Source organism: Homo sapiens, chromosome 5 (assembly GCF_000001405.40).
Source record: "Homo sapiens chromosome 5, GRCh38.p14 Primary Assembly".
In the NCBI taxonomy this organism is placed as follows: domain Eukaryota; kingdom Metazoa; phylum Chordata; class Mammalia; order Primates; family Hominidae; genus Homo; species Homo sapiens.
This window is the reverse complement of record NC_000005.10, coordinates 1,052,730-1,065,865: the sequence shown is the minus strand read 5'-3', so window position 1 is coordinate 1,065,865 and position 13,136 is coordinate 1,052,730. Positions and strand designations below refer to the sequence as shown.

Sequence of the window (13,136 nt, the reverse complement as noted above, 5' to 3'; positions counted from 1 at the left end):
AATTTGGCCCATTTTCGGGTGTTTCTGATGCACCAGGTGGATGAACCTGGCCCAGAGCGTCCGAGTGAACTGGGGGTGGGTCTGGGATGTTGTGGATCGCCTCAGAGAACTGCCTGGCGTTGTGTCCCCAGAGCAGCCCTCCACATCCCCTGCACGTGGCATCAGTCACACCTGCTCTGTGTCTCTCTCCCCAGTGTGTGAGCACGCACATACACACATACACACACAGCGGCCGGGAGCACCGCAGCACACCGTTGAGCCTTCGGGCCTTCCCTCCTGCTGGGTCCACAGGGGAGGTGGTGCGGGTGCCCTGGCCACCGTGGGTGGTGGGCGTGGGTCTGTGCACCCCATTCCTGCTGTAGCACCAACCTGTCCTGTCTCCCGCAGAACATACGGTCCCTAATGAGCACAGAGAAGACCAAGGGCTTCTGCCAGCTGGTGGTCTCGTCCAGCCTGCGGGATGGCATGTCCCACCTGATCCAGTCGGCCGGCCTGGGCGGCCTGAAGCACAACACGGTGCTCATGGCCTGGCCCGCATCCTGGAAGCAGGAGGACAACCCCTTCTCCTGGAAGAACTTTGTGGGTAGGCATGGCTGGCGGCCCTTCGGCATCCCCTCACCGTCCCCTCTGTGTCCTCTCAGTGTCCCCTCGCTGTCCCCTGTGTGTCTCCTCAGTGTCCCCTCGCTGTCCTCTCACTGTCCCCTTTTCGTCCCCACTGTCCCCTTGGTGTCCCCTCTGCATCCCCTCGCCGTCCCCTCACTGTCCCCTGTGTGTCTCCTCAGTGTCCCCTTGCTGTCCCCTCACTGTCCCCCTCTGCCTCCCCTCGCTGTCCCCTCACTGTCCCGTGTCCCCTCAGTCTCCTCTGCATCCCTTTGCCATCCCCTCGCTGTCCCCTAACCGTCCCCTCACCATCTCTTCGCCGTCCCCTCACTGTCCCCTCACCATCTCCTCGCCGTCCCCTCGCGGTCCCCTCACCATCTCCTCGCCGTCCCCTCGCTGTCCCCTCGCCGTCTCCTCGCCGTCGCTTCGCCGTCCCCTCGCCGTTCCCTCACTGTCCCCTCGCCGTCTCCTCGCTGTCCCCTCACCGTCCCCTTGCTGTCCCTTCACCGTCTCCTCGCCGTCCCCTCGCTGTCCCTTCACCGTCTCCTCGCTGTCCCCTCACCGTCCCCTCACTGTCCCTTCACCGTCTCCTCGCTATCCCTTCACTGTCTCCTCGCCGTCCCCTCTGTCTCCTCGCTGTCCCCTCAACGTCCCCAGGCCTGTGCGCTGTCAGGTCCCGATGGGCCTTGAGGCCACCGACCCGAGGGTGTGTGCTCTGAGGCTGTCGAAGGCCCTGGCCCTGGGAGCGGCCATCTGAAAGTGTCCAGGCACTCCCTCCCCTTCTCCCAGAGCCCCGCAGGGGCTGGGGGATTCCCTGGACACATGACCAGCAGCTGAACTCTGCTGTGAGTCTCTGGCTGGTCCTTGGAGGAGCTGACGGAGTGAGGGTGGGGGCTTTGTGGGGACCCCCCTCGCCTCGCCGTGCCCGCCCCTGCACTGGCTGTGAGTCCCCGGGGAGGCCCCTTCCGCACCCTGGCCTCAGATGACCTGCGGACGGCCGCCTCTCTCCGCAGACACCGTCCGCGACACCACCGCCGCGCACCAGGCTCTGCTGGTGGCCAAGAACGTCGACTCGTTTCCGCAAAACCAGGAGCGCTTCGGCGGGGGCCACATCGACGTGTGGTGGATCGTGCACGACGGCGGCATGCTCATGCTGCTGCCCTTCCTGCTGCGCCAGCACAAGGTGGGGCGTGCGACGGGGACACGCCAGCCGGAGCACGGCCACCCCACGTGCTGCGGGCCGGGACGGGCTCCTCTGAGGCCCCACAGCCATGCCCTCCCTGTCTGCAGGTGTGGAGGAAGTGCCGGATGCGTATCTTCACCGTGGCCCAGGTGGACGACAACAGCATCCAGATGAAGAAGGACCTGCAGATGTTCTTGTACCACTTGCGCATCAGCGCCGAGGTGGAGGTGGTGGAGATGGTGAGTCCCGAGGGCTTGAGGGGAGGAGGCCGGGGGGAGGTGGGGAGGAGGTGGGGGGCGGCCCGGGAGGGCTGTGGGCCTCGTGAGGTGGGGGTGGAGGGGGAAGTGGAGATCGGGAGGGCTGTGGCCTCGTGAGGTGGGGGTGGAGGGGGAAGTGGAGATCGGGAGGGCTGTGGCCTCGTGAGGTGGGGGTGGAGGGGGAGATCAGGAGGTGGAGGTGGAGGTGGGGAGGAGAAGGTGGTGGCGATTGTGGCGGGGGCTGCCAGGCCTTGCGGGGTGGTCAAGGAGGCTTGGTTTTGGAATCGCCAGGACATCACAGAAAGCACAGAGCCCCGTGTGTTGCTTGTGGACACCTCGTGTAACACGGGTGTGGGTGTTGCCCTAGAGCCGGCATCAGCATCTCCGTGTCCTCCATGGTCCCGTGTCCTCCTCGGCCCGGGACCCCGTCCAGGACCTCACACCTCAGTGGTGTTGCCATGGTGGGTGCACCTCTGAGCACCTCCCGTTTTGGGTGCTCTCCCCAGATGGGCTCACCTTCCCACGGCTGGAAACCACACATCAGCAGTCGGGACCCGGGGAGAGGGGCACTGGTCAGTGAGGCCAGGCTGCAGCTGTCACGTGGGACAGACAGGCCCTCGGTCAGCTATAGGCAGGGCCTGGACAGAGACTCGTCCCGTCCTTCACGCCTGGAGAGGACGGGGTTGATGGGCGGAGGCCTGGCATTGGAGCGCTTGCCCCCGGCCCCCAAGCATGGAGCTCTGGATCCTGGGGATCTGGTGGGCCCCTTGTGCTGGATGGAACCATGCCTGCTCGCTACCAGCCCACCCGGATCCACGGCTGTGCCTTCCCCTCCGGTCCTGCTGGCGGTCCCGGGACTTTGTGGGTTCTGACCCCACTTGGATCACGCCGACAACACTGGTCTTGAAGTCAGAACCCGCAAAGTCCTGGTTTCTTCCGGCTCCCGTGACCCCAGCGCATGGTTTTGCAGGTCCTCAGGGGCCTGGACTCCTGGAGGTGGGTGCTGGGAAGACATAAAGCTGGATAGAGACTGTCACGCTGTCCCCCAGGAAGCCACCTGTGCCCCTGCAGCAGCCTGGGAGGTGCGGTCTCTCCAGCCCCGCAGCCCCCCAGTCCCCCAGTCCCTCAGTCCCCCAGCCCCCCAGCCCCCCAGCCCTGGGTATGGCAGAGGCCCCGAGCACCTGCTCCTGGTTTGTGTCGGGCTGTGAGTGAGGCCAGGCACGGCTTCGTGCCTCACCGACAACCTTCTGTGTTTCTGTGTCAGTTCCCGTGGAACTCAGTTGTCCTGTGGGGTTGTTCTTCCTCTTGCCCTGCAGGACCTTTCCTAGGCCGAGGGCTGCAGGCCTGCGTGACGCTGGATGGTTTTCTGCCCAGTTTTGTACACTGGGCTTAGTTTCCATGTGGCTGTGTCTTCGGGGACGATGGCTGGAGTTTGTCTTGTTTGGACGAGGCTTTGCGGGTTCAAGGTTGTAGGGGTTATTATTGGTGCTAATAGTCGTATGAATAACGTTATTTCCAAGTCATAAAACCGCTTAGTAAAATAGTAACAAAATGCTGCCTGGGAGAACCAGCCCTGCCAGGGGGCCAGGTGGGGCGGCCACTGGGGCCCAGAGGAAACAGGCAAAGTGAGCCCATGGCCCCAGCCGCACCCCCAGCCCCTCCGTGGTGCCAGAAGCAGCTCCCCAGCTCCTGAGCAGGGGTTGTTAGCTCTGAAGTCCGGGAACCTGGAGCTCCCAGCACCCCCCATGCTCCCAGCCATGTCTCTGGCAGGGCTGGGGCTGCCCACCCCTCCGTAGCCCTGGCCGCAGGGACAAGTGCCACCTGGCTGGAGAGGGGCGTCTGGGTCGCTGCCATTCAGTCTGGCATGCTGTTTATTTTTTTAAAAAAAGTTTTGAGACAGAGTCTCGCTCTGTCCCCAAGGCTGGAACCTCCACCTCCTGGGTTCAGGCAATTCTCCTGCCTCAGCCTCCTGAGTAGCTGGGACTACAGGTACACGTCACCATACCTGGCTAATTTTTTTTTTTTTCTTTGTATTTTTAGTAGCAATGGGGTTTCACCATGATGGCCAGGCTGGTCTCGAACTTCTGACCTCAGGTGATCCACCCGCCTCGGCCTCCCAAAGTGTTGGGATGACAGGTGTGAGCCACCGCACCTGATCTGGTGTGCTGTTTTAAATACTGGTGCTTAACAGGCACAGCTGCTCCCAACTCCCATGAGCCGGGTGCGGCGGGTGAGACACAGGGATCCCGCACGGCGGGTGCGGTGGGTGAGACGCAGGGGTCCCGCATGGCGGATGCGGCAGGTGCGGCGGGTGCGGCGGGTGAGACTCAGGGATCCCGCACGGCGGGTGCGGCGGGTGAGACTCAGGGATCCCGCACGGCGGGTGCGGTGGGTGAGACGCAGGGGTCCCGCATGGCGGATGCGGCAGGTACGGCGGGTGCGGCGGGTGAGACTCAGGGATCCCGCACGGCGGGTGCGGCGGGTGAGACTCAGGGATCCCGCACGGCGGGTGCGGCGGGTGAGACTCAGGGATCCTGCACGGCAGGTGCGGTGGGTGAGACGCAGGGGTTCCGCATGGCGGATGCGGCAGGTACGGCGGGTGCGGTGGGTGAGACGCAGGGATCCCGCACGGCGGGTGCGGTGGGTGAGACGCAGGGGTCCCGCACGGCGGGTGCGGCGGGTGAGACGCAGGGGTCCCGCACGGCGGGTGCGGTGGGTGAGACGCAGGGGTTCCGCATGGCGGATGCGGCAGGTGCGGCGGGTGCGGCGGGTGAGACTCAGGGATCCCGCACGGCGGGTGCGGCGGGTGAGACTCAGGGATCCTGCACGGCAGGTGCAGTGGGTGAGACGCAGCAGTCCCACACTGTGGATGTTCCGGGTGAGGCGCAGGGGTCCCGCACGGTGGGTGCAATGGGTGAGACCCAGGGTCCTGCATGGCGGGCGCTGAGGTTGTGCTGTGGCTTCTCCATGTGTTCTGGGTGGGTTTCCCATGGTGCCAAGCCCCCCTGAGCATAGACAATGACACCTGTGAGCGTGGATCATGCAGCCCCATGGGGCAGTGCCTCGCCCTGAGCCGTGTGTGCCAGGTTGGTTTGTGGCTGTGGCCTTGCCCTCACAGCTGCCCTTGTGCCCGGTCGGAGGGTCCCGGGGAGGGACATGAGCAGAGCGTGTGTGCGGCGTGACTGCCCATCGTGCGCTCACACCTTCCTGGCCACTGGGCGGGGGGCCTGAGAGCCAGAGGGGGCCTGTGGGGCCCGGGACGCGTGGCCTTTCCCACCGCTCAGGGCGGCTCGGTCTCTGGGTACCGGGCTGGTGTTGGAGCCATCCGTGGTTCTGTGCACACCGGGCTTACTACGTGCTTGGGAACTTTCTAGGTTGAAAACGACATATCTGCTTTCACCTACGAGAGGACACTAATGATGGAGCAGAGGTCGCAGATGCTGAAGCAGATGCAGCTGTCCAAGAACGAGCAGGAGCGAGAGGTACGTGGGGGCCGTGGCCACAGACACCAGGCTTTCTGAGAAGTATAGCCGACTTCGCCGAGTCTTTTCTGGGACCCTCCTGCAGCCCACGAGGGTCCTCCAGAGAGCATGCCTCAGGTACTGCGTCGCAGGCTCAGCCCCCAGCCTGCGTGGAGGTGGCAGAGGCCCTGCAGGAGCACAGGAGTGGCGTCAAAGCCAGAGCTCATCGGAGCCTGGGCGTGCGGGTGCCTGGTTAGAGGAACGGCAGCCTGCCAGATGCATGCTCATGTGCAGGAAGGGACGAGGGCCGAGACCTTTGAACTTAGCTTTTCTAACCGAGCAGCGTGCAGGCAGGAGACATGGGGACCCTCCCCAAGGGCAGTGCCCTCTGACAGGGTCAGCGGCTTCTGAGCCGGATGAGTGCCCACAGCTGCTTACGATGGCTGCTTTGTCTCACAGCCTGAAACCGTGGAGCCCCTCAGTGCCCTTCCCCGCAGCATGCACAGATTTCTGTCCTAAGACCAAGTGGGAGGGGAGAGTGAGTGTGCAGGGAGGGAGGGAAGCGAGCTGGAGGGGAGTTGCCAACCCCCCCACCCCCCACCCCCCGACACAGACCTGTGCAGCCTCCGTGCGTGGAAGCTGGCCGCCTGGCTGCAGCGGCTTTGGCTCCGTGGGTAACTGTAGGCTGCTGAGGACGTCTGGGTGTATCCACCTGAGTTATACTGGCCTGGGCCCCATGGCCACTGTGAGACCCCAAGGGCAGGTGTCTTTGTGGTCACTTCGCACTGGAGGACAGCACGGGGGTCACCTGGTAGCGGGATGCTCAGCTCTGTGAGGTCACGGCCTCATGGGGTCTTCGTGGGTCCCACCAGGCTGGTATCACACACGTGTGTCTGCAGACCAGGTGCAGGTGTTGGTTTTCTGAGACTGCAGTGACGGCGGAGGCAGGGGCAGGGGATTTGCCTGCCCTGGGGCCTTGGCCTCAGCAGGAACCTGCAGTACACGGGTCTGCGTGTGGGGCCATATGTGCTGACAGCCGGAATCACTAAGCAGCGACTGCTGCTCTCCCCCAACAGAGAAAGGCGTGTGGAGCTGCGGTCCTGTCCACTCCCAGACCCCGGGCAGGTCAGGGTGGGCACAGATGCAGGACACGGGGGGCCGCCCAGCTTGTCCGTGGACAGAGACCCCTTCCACGGGGGTCCGGGCAGCCGGGAGTGTCTGGGAGGACCCACATCCTCTGTTTTCTGTCCAGGCCAGGTCCCTGAGATCCGGCAGGGTCGCCCTGGCGTCACAAGGGTTCAGCCCGGGTCCAGCTAGGAACAAGAATCCACCCATGGCTTCATGGGAAGTTCAGTGTGGAGAGTCAGCAAATGCTGACCGAGGAGGGACCGGGAGCGGGAACAGCAAGCTCGAGCTCGAAGGGCCCCTCCTGGGCCAGGTGGGGGTTGGAGGTGTCACCGCTCTGCAGAAGGGTTTGGATGAGCTGCTGTGCAGACGCTGGGTGGACACCCTCTAGTGACTTACACGGTGGCCCTCGGGCCAGGTGGGCGGCGCTGGCTCTGCCGAGAGCGGGCAGCCCTTGGGCTCTGGTTTCACGTTCAAGGCCATGGGAAATTTAGGCTGGGCCGGGCGCCACAATGAGTAGAGGCCTGGGGCCCACTGTCTGTGTCCAGAGAGGGAGGCAGCCCCAGGCCCTCCCCCATCTGTGCCAATCTCTTCCCTTTCGGGAAGGACCGACATCCAAGTTAAACAGTTTTATCCAGGGAAGAAGAACCTGGTCCAGTGAAATCACTCTGGACCTTTGGCTTTTTAAAATCACCCCGGGGCTCACAAACTCCTGATGCCCCTGGGACGAGTGGCTCCCCGGGCTGCGTCACAAACTCAGGCGGGGCTCCAGCCACAGTGGGAGAGGTGGCCATTCCAGTGTGTGCATAAATACCACTTCCAAGGTGGCACCCGTGTCTGGGAGCTCCCATTGGCCTACCTGTCAGGCTGGCCACGACAGCATGGAGGGCGTGAAGGGTGCAGGGAGGAATGAGAACCCAGTGGAGGGTGTTTAACCACCAGGGGCTGCGCCATTGGTGCGATCTCGCGGTGAGGGCGCCACTTCCCCTTCGGCGCCTACAGCTAGGGGCGTGGACGGTGTTTTCATTTTCCTCGGATTGTCAGAAGTGACGCACAGGGGGCCGGCCCTGTCATTGGCCCCAGCGGTGCCCCACAGGGCCCCTGCCAGCCTGGCCGGCCCCCAAACGTCCCCTGGCTGGTCAGACACAGCCTGCTTCCCCGGGGACAGGGCCTGGATGCTGGTACGGCCCCACCTGCCCCAAGCCTCCCTGAGACGGGGACGCCTGCGTGCTGGTCGTGTGGGCGAGCAGGTGGTCTGGGGTGAACACGTGTGTGGAGCCCCGTCAGGTGAGGGGGAGACTCTGCCAGCACGTGTCACCTCCTGTCAGTACGGGGTCATGGGGCCTTTCCAGTTCAGGGCCAGGGCGGGAAGGTGAGGGGGTGAGCGTTTGGTCGGGAAGCCTGGGAGGAGGGAGGCAGTCACGGGGGCGGCGCAGGACCAGTGTGGGACGCCAGGCTGGGTCCCGGGTCAGGCACACAGGGCCCTTCAGGTTCTGTGAGCTGCCCTCACCTCCGGCCTGGCATCCCGGGTCGCTCTCGCCCAGAGGAGTTTTGAGACCGGCTGGTCTCACCAAGTCCCGGGCCCGCCAGGCCCAGCTGATCCACGACAGGAACACCGCGTCCCACACCGCGGCGGCAGCCAGGACCCAAGCGCCGCCTACGCCAGACAAGGTGCAGATGACCTGGACCAGGGAGAAGCTGATCGCTGAGAAGTACAGGAGCAGAGACACCAGCCTATCTGGTTTCAAAGACCTCTTCAGCATGAAGCCGTGAGTGTCCGTGCGTGTGGCCTGGGGGGAACAGATCCTGGCAGTGCTGGCCCGGCAGTGAGGACAGAGTCCCTTCCCTGACCACTGAAGAGCTTCGGGGCAACCCTGCAGGCCAGTGGGCCCGTTAGAGAACAGGGAGCCGCCTGAGTGGGCACTGAGGGGTCCTTTTGGTGCCAAGGCCGGGCCCTGAGTTCAGCCCTGTGGCCGGGCGCTGAGGGATCCTTCTAGTGCCAAGGCCGGGAGTCCTTGTAAGACCTGGGTGCCAAGTGCTGAGGGGTCCTTCTAGTGCCAAGCGCTGAGGGGTCCTTCTAGTGCCAAGCGCTGAGGGGTCCTTGTAGGACCTAGGGTGGGTCCTGATGTTAACCCCACAGCTGGGTGACGAGCAGTCCTCCTGGTACCTGGGCCAGCCCTGAAGTCAGCCCTGCGGCCAGGCCTGCTTTACTCAGGCAAGCCTCACTGCAGCAGGCAGATGGGTCTGTTCCATGGAGGCGAGGAGGCTTGTGCCGCTGGGCACAGAATTCCTGGCCTTCACCCTGTGGGTAGTTCAGGCTGCTGTCGGGCCTTAGGGCCTGCCCTACGCCAAGGCTCCCACCTGTGGCCTTGGGCTGCGAACACCAGGGCTGTACAGGGTCCTTGCGGGTGTGGGTTTGGTTCTGCAGACGCAGCCTCTGAGTTCCAGATGAGAGCGCAAGAGACACCTCTCACCCGGGGTCAGAGCCAGACCCTAAAGCCAGGTTCTCAGGAAGGGCTGGGGGCTCCTGGGCCCTGTGGGGTGGGATGAGGCGGCGTCCTCCTGGGCAGCCATGCGATCTGGAACAGCCTGGTGCTCTCTCCTGAAGTCAGTAACACACTCTTGTTTTTTTCTCCTGCATAGAGAATGGGGAAACCTGTAAGTCCACTCGCTACAACCAGGTCGCCTTCCGGGCCCGGTTGCCCTGCATGCCTGTGTGTGTGTGGCCTGCGTGTGTCTGTGCGCGTGTTCTAGGCCTGTGCCTGCCCCGTGCACGGTGGCTTGTGTGCGTCCGCGTACAGCCAGAGCTCACCCAGAGCTGCTGCGGCTCCCACGTCAGTTTCCTGTTGCCTTCGCTCCCCTCTGTTCACGGTGGCTCCAGCACACGCCTGAAGCCTCTTCCTAAGTGAGGCCCAGGAACTGAGACCTGGGAGGTGTCCGAGCCGCTCCGGAGTGGAGGGGAGGCGTGCGCCTCGCAGGGCCCGTCAGTGAGTCCATCCACGTCCTTCTGGGTCAGGCGCTAGCTGAGTCGCGTTCCCACCTGGAATGCCTTCCATGTTAAAGCTGTCCAGCCTCCAGGCGGAGAGGGGTGCAGATCAGTTCTCTGTGTGGTCGGACCCTCGGCAGGAGCTACCTGCGTCTGAGCTCCGGGGCAGGTGGGAGGGTGTACCCTGGACGGACCCCCAGGGTGCTCCCTGGGAGTCCTCGATGCCGTCTCTGTCCCCTGCCTGCCCCCGCCAGTAACCGCCTGGGCCATGTTTTCCTTGTGGGCAGGCAGTGCCTGGTGCCTGAGTGAGGAACGCCTTGGCTGAGTGGCCACACTTCCCTTCCCTTTTTATCTTTAACCCCGAAACCTGAATTAATCAGACTCAAGAAACTGTGCAGCTATGTGCGAGGCGTGCAGGGAATCCCTGTACTTCCTGCTCCGTTCTGTAAATCTGAAAGTGCCTTCAGAATAGCGTGTTAATTAAAGCCGAAGAACGACGTAGACCCAGGAGTAGGGTTTGACACACACATGCACAGGCACACACACTCGGGGACCCTCAGTGGCACCTGTGCCTCCTCCCAGCGCCGGGGCTTGCCTCCCCTTGGTCGGGGCGGGGGCAGGTCCCCACAGGCCTGTAGGGTCAGGAGAAGGTGGGCCAGAATGGACAACGCGTGGGCTTTGTATTCATGTGTGGCGTGCGTCTGGGATGGCATTGACTCTCTTGGCCCAGCAGTTTCTCGGGGTTGGGCTGGGAGAAGCCCTCCGAAGATCTGGAGGTCGGCCCTGACCTCTTCTGGGCAGTGCGGGCGTGAGATGTGCGTGGCTTACTGTGACGTCCCCGGGAGCACACTTAACGGATGTCTGTTTGTGTGCGTGCTCGCATGTACCTGTCAGCGCACCTGCCGGTGGACGTGTACCTGCCTGTGTGCACGTCCACGTACGTTAGTGTGCATGTCTGTGTGCACATACTATGCATGTCTTACATGTTAGTGTGTCTGCACGCATTTGCACATTGTGACTGCATGCCTGTTTGTACATGATAGTGTATGCACTTGTGTATTAGTGTGACTATGCCTGTGTGTGTACACATCAGTGTGTCTGCATGTATGTGTGTGTGCGTATACACATTAGTGTGCGTGTCTGTGCCTGTGTCTGCACTGGTCCTCCTTGCTGTGGCGGCCGGCATACTCCACCAGTAGCCAAGGGCCAGGTCTCCGCCTCACCCCAGCACTCACTGGCTGTGGACACGCTGCCCACTCCGACCCCCCTGTGCTCCTGGCCTGCTTTCACTTCCTGGAGCTGCTCTTTGTCCCCAAACACACTGGTAATTGTGGTCTATCCAGAAGTCGAATTCAAAGTTCCAAGTTCCTGGCACGAAAGCCCCTTGACTGTGCTGTGGACAGAGACCCCATCTGTAATTAGACCAGGCTGGAGAGAAGATAGAAGGTCTCTCCCTGTGTTCCTCCTGGAAATTGGTGGTTATGATCACGTTTATGTGGCTTAAGCGTCAAGCGGATCAAAGGGCGTGAGCCTGGATAGCGTCCGTGGGGCCTCTCCATGACCCTGCATGGGCGGCCTCTGTCTGTCCGCCGCCGCCCCTCTGCGTCCAGGGCGCTGGTGACCTCCCCCAGGGGGCCACAGTCACGACCGCACGGCTGCAGCTGGCCTGAGACCCGCTCCGACTTTCAAGTCCACACACGGGCCGGGTTTTTCCAACACAGAAACGCAAGTGCTCCCCTCCGCCCAGCGTTTCCCCAGGTGGCCTCCTGGAACGCCAGTTCTGCTGCAGTTTAGGGGCCTGCCTAGGAGGGGACCGTGGGGTAGAGGAGGGAGATAAGCTCTGTCCCGCAAGGGCCTGAGCACCTCACAGCATGATTCTGCAGTGTCCCCAAACCTACTTGGTTGGGGAGCCTCCTGTGGGGCTGTGGCCGGGCCCAGGCCGCCAGGGACGCTTTGAGACATGGACCGGCCACAGCAGCTTCAGAGAGCAGACAGGGAGGGTCGTGGAGCAGAGCTGCGTTGTGAGGACGGAAGGCGGGGGCTGGACGGCCACACGGTGGAAGTGCTTGTCCTTTAGCCCTTGGCCAGACAGGGGCAGGGTGGGCCGTAGGAGGGGACCCAGTAGTGGCCACTGAGGGCCTGTGCCTCCAGCTGAGTCCTCGGCATACCCTGTCCTTGTCAGGCCTGGGAGCTTCAGCAGCAACGGCTGCACAGGCCGGTGTGGGGGACTCTGGGCCTTTCCTTCCTGAGCTTCCGGCCCCTTGGACCCAGTTGTATCAGGACCCTCGGAGAGGAGGCCATGTGTGCCCAGCCTGACGGGTCTGTGTTTGGCAGTGTCTGACGTGGGGTTTAGGGGCGATGATGTAGATGTCAAGAGAAGCGTGTCAGCCTTGAAGGCGTCAGGCACATGGGCCACCCAGACGGCTTCCACTGTTCTGCCTGCTTTGCAGATGTAGATGTAGTTAGGAAAGCGCTTGCGGTTTGTGTTGTGTGACTGTAGCCCTTAGAAGCTTGGCAGCCTTAGTGGGCTGAGTTCTAGGTCCCTGGAGGCCAAAGCATCCCGCTGCTGAACGCCCGCCCTGGCTGCAGTCAGCGCCTTTCGCTCGGAGCCGCCACTTCTGCATCCTTCAGGGTCAGAGAATCCGCCTGATCCTGACTCACACAGCCCTTTCCAACACGTGTGAATGCAGCTCATCAGGGCTCAGCTCAGCCTCGTGTCCGGAGCGTGGGGTGCACCCGCCGCCCGCTGACCGTGCCCACCTCCCCTGCAGGGACCAGTCCAACGTCAGGCGGATGCACACGGCTGTGAAGCTCAATGGCGTCGTCCTCAACAAGTCCCAGGATGCGCAGCTGGTCCTGCTCAACATGCCAGGTCCTCCCAAAAACCGGCAGGGAGACGAGAACTGTATCCTTTCTTGCAGTGTGCCTGCTGAGCGTGCGGGCACCCCCTGGTGGCTTCTCGCTAAGACCTGGGTTTGTGGGTGCTGGGAGTGAGGCTGGCTTCCCGCCTCTCCTTCAGCCCCAGGCTCTGGGAGCTACGACCGGGATGCAGTGGGGCTCTGAGCCCAGTGGTGACCGGGCCAGAGTTGGGGCCAGCCCTGGCATTGGTGTGGGGGAGGGAGGGCCCGCCTACAGTACCAGCCCCACTGTCCCCAGGTGCTCAGGGCTGCCCTGGGGCTGGGAGGCTCCCTGTCATGCATCCCCACAGCAGCTGTGCATTCTGGGACCTCCGCTGGGGCTCAGCCCCACCCTGCGCCGACAACGGTGGGAGGTGAGGAGCCCAGCTCTCGGCTTTAAGGCCACAATTGGTCGCAGCTTTGGGAATTTGTGCTTTGGAAGGAGAACTCCGCAGTGCATCTGGGCGTATTGGCACAGACAGGGTGACGCCTGGCACATCCCTGCCAGGTTGGCACCAAGAACTGGGGCCAGTGAGGGCATGTCCTCCATGCGTCCTGATCGGAATCCGTGGCCCAGGTCCCCTGTAGGCTGGTGAGGACCCAGTCCCGTGGCTGGGGTTCCCTGTC

At 63.3% G+C, this 13,136-nt stretch overlaps 1 protein-coding gene and 1 non-coding gene across 11 annotated transcripts in view; both read left to right on the top strand.

The window, feature by feature from the left end:
• The window catches only part of SLC12A7 (solute carrier family 12 member 7), a 105,516-nt gene that overhangs the window by 90,034 nt on the left and 2,346 nt on the right, over positions 1-13,136 (top strand). For 6 of the 10 annotated variants that reach the window (XM_011513941.3, XM_005248231.4, XM_047416640.1 and 3 more), the window contains exons 18-24: positions 388-583; positions 1,614-1,783; positions 1,891-2,022; positions 5,415-5,522; positions 8,217-8,395; positions 9,270-9,284; positions 12,384-12,517. In XM_011513941.3, coding sequence (XP_011512243.2) covers positions 388-583; positions 1,614-1,783; positions 1,891-2,022; positions 5,415-5,522; positions 8,217-8,395; positions 9,270-9,284; positions 12,384-12,517 — 934 coding nt within the window. Of the gene's footprint in view, positions 1-387; positions 584-1,613; positions 1,784-1,890; positions 2,023-2,331; positions 2,502-3,356; positions 3,507-5,414; positions 5,523-8,216; positions 8,396-9,269; positions 9,285-12,383; positions 12,518-13,136 lie in introns of those variants that run through there. The other 4 variants (XR_007058570.1, XR_007058569.1, XR_007058571.1 and 1 more) reach the window with 4 other exon arrangements.
• On the top strand, positions 2,892-2,970 carry MIR4635 (microRNA 4635). Its single transcript, NR_039778.1, has one exon. It is a non-coding gene; the product is annotated as a microRNA 4635 (primary transcript).